Source organism: Homo sapiens, chromosome 8 (assembly GCF_000001405.40).
Source record: "Homo sapiens chromosome 8, GRCh38.p14 Primary Assembly".
Taxonomy (NCBI): domain Eukaryota; kingdom Metazoa; phylum Chordata; class Mammalia; order Primates; family Hominidae; genus Homo; species Homo sapiens.
In genome coordinates this window covers 100,765,852-100,771,851 of record NC_000008.11, presented here as the reverse complement: position 1 = coordinate 100,771,851, position 6,000 = coordinate 100,765,852, and positions in this window count along the sequence as shown.

The window sequence follows — 6,000 nt, the reverse complement described above, 5'->3', positions numbered from 1 at the left end:
GAAATTATACTGGAGATGTAATCCAGCCCAGACCTCAAAGGCAGGGAGTCTACAACCAAACTGCCTGGGTTCTGATTCTGGCTGTCACACTAACCGGGTGGCCTTGGGCAAGTTACTTAACCTTTCTGTGCCTCGATAGCCTCATCTGTAAAATGGAGCTCATAGCAGTACCTATGTTACAGGGCTGTTGTGAGGATTAAACTGCCTTATGTAAAGTGCTCAGCATAGTGACTAGCACAATATGCACCCTCCATAAGTGTTAGCTCTTGGGCTCATTATGTGTTGTGAAGAAAGCCTCCCACAGATCCATTTGGTTGAAGGGGAGGATAGAGACACGGGAAGGCAGGGTGAAATGAGACATAAGAGTGGGGACAGTGTAAGCCCTGCCAGATAGGGGCTTCTCATAGGTGTAATTCCAGGCCCACATTGAAGGCCTGGCCCCATCTCTCTCAAATGCCTTCTCCAGAAGCCTCTCCCAGCTGCCCCATGCCTGGGTTTCTAGGGCAGGGGTTGGTGCTCTATCTATACTGCCTTCTATTGTCATTGATGGTTTTATATTCGGCCACCTCAACTCACATGTCAACCCACTGAGGAAAGAAAGAAAATATCTCTCACTGGCCACATTCAATCCAGTCCCTTTCCACTACACTCTGCTGTAAGTGTGAGGAGGATATGGGTGGGTGGTTAAGAACAGTCTTGAATAGCTGGGCACTGTAAGCCCAGTACTTTGGGAGGCTGAGCCGGGCAGATCACTAGGTCAGGAGTTCAAGACCAGCCTGGCCAACATGGTAAAACCCTGTCTCTACTAAAGATACAAAAAATTAGCTGGGTGTGGTGGTGCACGCCTGTAATCCCAGCTACTCAGGAGGCTGAGGCAGGGGAATCGCTTGAACCCAGGAGGCAGAGGTTGCAGTGAGCTGAGATGGTGCCATTGCGCTCCAGCCTGGGCCACAGGGCGAGACTCTGTCTCAAAATAAATAAATAAATAAATAAAATTAAAAAAAAAAGAACAGCTTTGGAATCAGGCTCAGTTTTAATTCCAGTTATCCTATTTTTTAGATATATGATCTGGGCAAGTTACTTAATCTTACTAAACCTCAGTTTTATCATCTGTTAAATGGGAACAATACTATTAGCTACCCCACAGGGCCATTGTAAAGATTGAGGCAACACTGGAAAAGTATTTTAGCACAGAGCCCTCGGTCATAGAAAACATTCAGTAAGTGGTAGCTTTGATTATGCTCAAGGTATTAATAGAAGAACATCACTAAGAAATAATCCTGTCTGGGTGCAGTGGCTCATGCCTGTAGACCCAGCTCTCTGGGAGGCTGAGGTGGGCAGATGATGAGGTCAGGAGTTTGAGACCAGCCTGGCCAGCATAGTGAAACCCCATTTCTACTAAAAATACAAAATTAGCTGGGTGTGGTGGTAGGTGCCTGTAGTCCCAGCTTCTCGGGAGGCTGAGGCATGAGAATCACTTCAACCCAGGAGGCAGGGGTTGCAGTGAGCCAAGATCACACCACTGTACTCCATCCTGGATGACAGAGTGAGATTCTGTCTCAAAAAAAAAAAAAAAAATCCTATCAGAAGCACAATATGTGGTTTACCATGGATTGCAGTATAAAGTGCAGGAAGAGGTACCCACTGCAACTGTCCAGCAATGAAGTGATAAGGGCTACTGACCTATGCTACTTGGCCTCCAGTACTCCTCCCTGCCACAAAGGTAGTGGTATTGGTCATTCAATCCCATGAAGATGACAGTCTTTGTATACCCCTTCCTCCTATATTTCCCAGCCTCTAGTATCCCCTACTGTACTTTTTACTTCTAAGAGATCAACTTTTTTAGCTTCCACATATTAGTGGGAACATGCAGTGTTTGTCTGTTCCTTGCTTACTCACGTAACATAATGTCCTCCAGTTCCATCCAGGTTGCTGCAAATGACAGGATTTCATTCTTTTTAAGGGCTGAACAGTATTCCATTATATATATATATATGTAATGTTTTATATATAACTATATATAATACATTATATATAATCATATATTTTATGTATTTATAAAAATATGTTCATATACACTAGGCATGGTGGCTCATGCCCGTAATCCCAGTACTTTGGGAGGCCGAGATGGGCGGATCATCTGAGGTCAGGAGTTCAAGACCAGCCTGGTCAAGATGGTGAAACCCTGTCTCTACTAAAAATACAAAAATTAGCCAGGCATCGTGGCAGGCACCTGTAATCCCAGCTATTCAGGAGGCTGAGGCAGGAGACTCACTTGAACCTGGGAGGTGGAGGTTGCAGTGAGCAGAGATAGCGCCACTGCACTCCAGCATGGACAACAAGAGCAAAACTCCATCTAAAATATATATATATTTTTTATATATACCATATATATTTATACATACCATATATTATATATATTTCATATATAATATATTTCATATTATATATTTTTAATGTATTTTTTAATGTTTATATATTTATATATTTTATAAATTTATATATTCATATATTATATATAAAATATATATTATATTATATATTTATATATTTTATAAATTTATATATATTTATAAATTATATATAAATATATATATTATATTATATATATAATTTATAAATATATAAATGATATATATGTTTCATATATATAAAATATATACACCACATTTTCTTTATTCATTCATCTGTTGTTGGACACCTAGGTTGACTCCATATCTTGGCTATGATGATTAATGCTGCAGTAAACATGGGGGAGAAGGTGTCTCTTTGATATACTGATTTCCTTTCCTTTGGATAAATGCCCAGTAGTAGAACTGCTGGAACATATGGTAATTTTATTTGTGTTTTTTTTTAAGGAACTTCCTCACTGTTCTCCATAGTGGCTGTACTACTAGATTACATTCCCACCAACAACGTATAAGAGTTGCCTTTGCTCCACACCCTTGACAGCAGTTGTTATTTTTTTGTCTTTTTGATAATAGCCATCCTAACTGGGGTCAGATGACACCTCATTGTGGTTTTGGTTTGCATTTCCCTGATGATTATTGATGTTGAGCATTTTTTTTTTTGAGACAGAGTTTTGTTCTTGTTGCCCAGGCTGAAGTGCAGTAACACAATCTCAGCTCACTGCAACTTCTGCCTCTCAGGTTCAAGTGATTCTCCTTCCTTAGACTCCCAAGTAGCTGTGATTACAGGTGCCCACCACCATGCCTGGCTAATTTTTTGTATTTAGTAGAGATAGGGTTTCACCATGTTGGTCACGCTGGTCTCAAACTCCTCACATCAGGTGATCTATCCACCTCAGCCTCCCAAAGTGCAGAGATTACAGGCATGAGCCACTGCACCTGGCCCGACGTTGAGCATTTTTTCATACATTTCTTGACCATTTGTATGTCTTCTTTTGAGAAATGTCTGTTCAGATCATTTGCCCATTTTTAAATCAGATTTTTTTTATGTTGAAATGATTAAATTCATTATCTATTCTGGATGTTAATCCCCTGTCAGACGAATGGTTTGCAAATATTTTCTCCCATTCAGTAGGTCATCTTTTTACTGTTGATTATTTCCTTTGCTATGTGGAAGCTTTCTAGTTTAATATAATCACATTTGCTTATTTTATCTTTTGTTGTTTGGTTTTGAGGCCATATTCATAAGATCTTTTCCCAGACCAATTTTCTGAATTATTTCCCCTATATTTTCTTCTAAAAATTTTATAGTTTTGGGTCTTACATTTTGAATATTTGATCAATTTGGAGTTGATTTTTATAGAGGGTGAGAGGTGGGGGTCTAGTTTCATTCTTCTGCATATGGATGTCCAATTTTCCCAGCACCACTTGTCAGAGACTGTCCTTTCCCAAATGTATGTTCTTGGCATCTTTATCAAAAATCAGCTGGTGACTGGATGTAGTGGCTCACGCCTGTAATCCTAGCATTTTGGGAGGCCGAGCAGGCAGATCACTTGAGGTCAGGAGTTCGAGACCAGCTTGTCCAACACAGTGAAACCCTGTCTCTACTAAAAATACAAAAGTTAGCTGGGTGTGGTGGCACATGCCTGTAGTCCCAGCTACACGGGAGGTTGAGGCAGGAGAACCACTTGTATCCGGGGGGTGGAGGCTGCAGTGAGCCGAGATTGCACCACTGCACTCCAGCCTGGGCAACAGAATGAGACTCTGAGACTCTGTCTCAAAAAAAAAAAAAAAAAAATCAGTTGGCTATAGATACATGGATTGATTTCTGGGTTCTCTATTCTGTTCCAATGGTCTATATGTCTATTTTTATGCCAGTACCATGCTGTTTTAGTTTACTACCACTTTGTAGTATATTTTGAAGTTTGGTAGTGTGATGCCTCCAGCTTTTGTTGTTTTCGCTCAGGAGTTCTTTGGCTATTTTGGGTCTTTTGTGGTTCCATACAAATTTTAGGATTTTTTTTTTTCTTTTTTCTGTTTCTGTGAGGAATGTCATTGGTATTTTGACTTTGCATTGACTCTGTAGATTGCTTTGGGTAGTATGGTCATTTTAACCATATTAATTCTTCTGATCTTCACAATAACCACTGAAGTTTTTAAATTTTTTTCTTTTTCTTTTTTTTTTTTTTTTTTTTTGAGACGGAGTCTTGCTCTGTCGCCCAAGCTGGAGTGCAGTGGTGGGATCTCGGCTCACTGCAACCTCCGCCTCCTGGGTTCAAGCAATTCTCCTGCCTCAGTCTCCTGAGTAGCTGGGATTACAGGCACATGCCACCACGCCCGGCTAATTTTTATATTTTTAGTAGAGACAGGGTTTCACCATGTTGGTCAGGCTGGTCTTGAACTCCTGACCTCGTGATCTGCCCACCTCGGCCTCCCAAAGTTCTGGAATTACAGGCGTGAGCCAACATGCCTTGCTGGTTATTATAATTTCTTTTTTTCAGATGAGGAAACTCAGGCTTTGAGAAATTAAGTAACTTGTGGGGTCACACAGCTGAGTCAAGACTATGAATTTGTCTGACTCTAAAGTCTCCTTGACTCATATTCTTTGTAGATCTCTTAAAATCTGAGAGTTTGATTATTAAAACAATGTCTAAAAGTGTATGTTTATATAACCACTGAAGTTTCCTTTATCTGTGCTCAGTGGATTCTGCAGCCAGGCCCCCAAGGAATCACACAACATTAAGGTGTGACAAATTCAATCCCTCGCCTCCTTCAAGCCTTTGTCCAAATGTCTTCTTTGGGCCTTCTCTGACCTTTATATTAAATGTTGCAAATCCCCATACACCCACATCCTCACCCAAAGCAAGGATGACCAGTTGTGCTGGTTTGCCAGGAACAGAGTGGGGCCAGGATAAAGGGATTTTCAGTTTTCAAACCGGAGAGTCCCTGAAAAACTTGGAAAAGTCAGTCACCCTACCTTGCTGAGAAAAGGCCATTGCCCTTGACAGCATGATGGTCATGGATGCCCTTGACAGGAGCTGTTTTTGCAGAGTTCTGAAGATGAAAGCACAATTAGATTGGCTTTAAAAGAGAATAGGCCAAATACAATGCAGTACCCTGGACTGGATCAAAACAATGAGAAAACTGGTGAAACACAAATACAATCTGGAGCTTAGTGAATAGTCATGTCGTCACCAGAAAGGGGTCCTGACCCAGACCCCAAGAGAGGGTTCTTGGATCTCGAGCAAGAAAGACTTCAGGGTAAGTCCGCAGAGTAAAGTGAAAGCAAGTTTATTAAGAGAGTAAAGGAATAGACCGGGCAGGGTGGCTCATGCCTCCAGCACTTTGGGAGGCCGAGGTGGGTGGATCACCTGAGCTCAGGAGTTCAAGACCAGCCTGGCCAACATGGCAAAACCCTGTCTCTCTAAAAATACAAAAATTAGCCGGGCGTGGTGGCACTCACCTGTAATCCCAGATACTCGGGAGGCTGAGGCAGGAGAATCGCTTGAACCTGGGAGGCGGAGGTTGCAGTAAGCCGAGATCATGCCACTGCACTCCAGCCTGAGCCAAACTCCATTTAAAAAAAATAAAA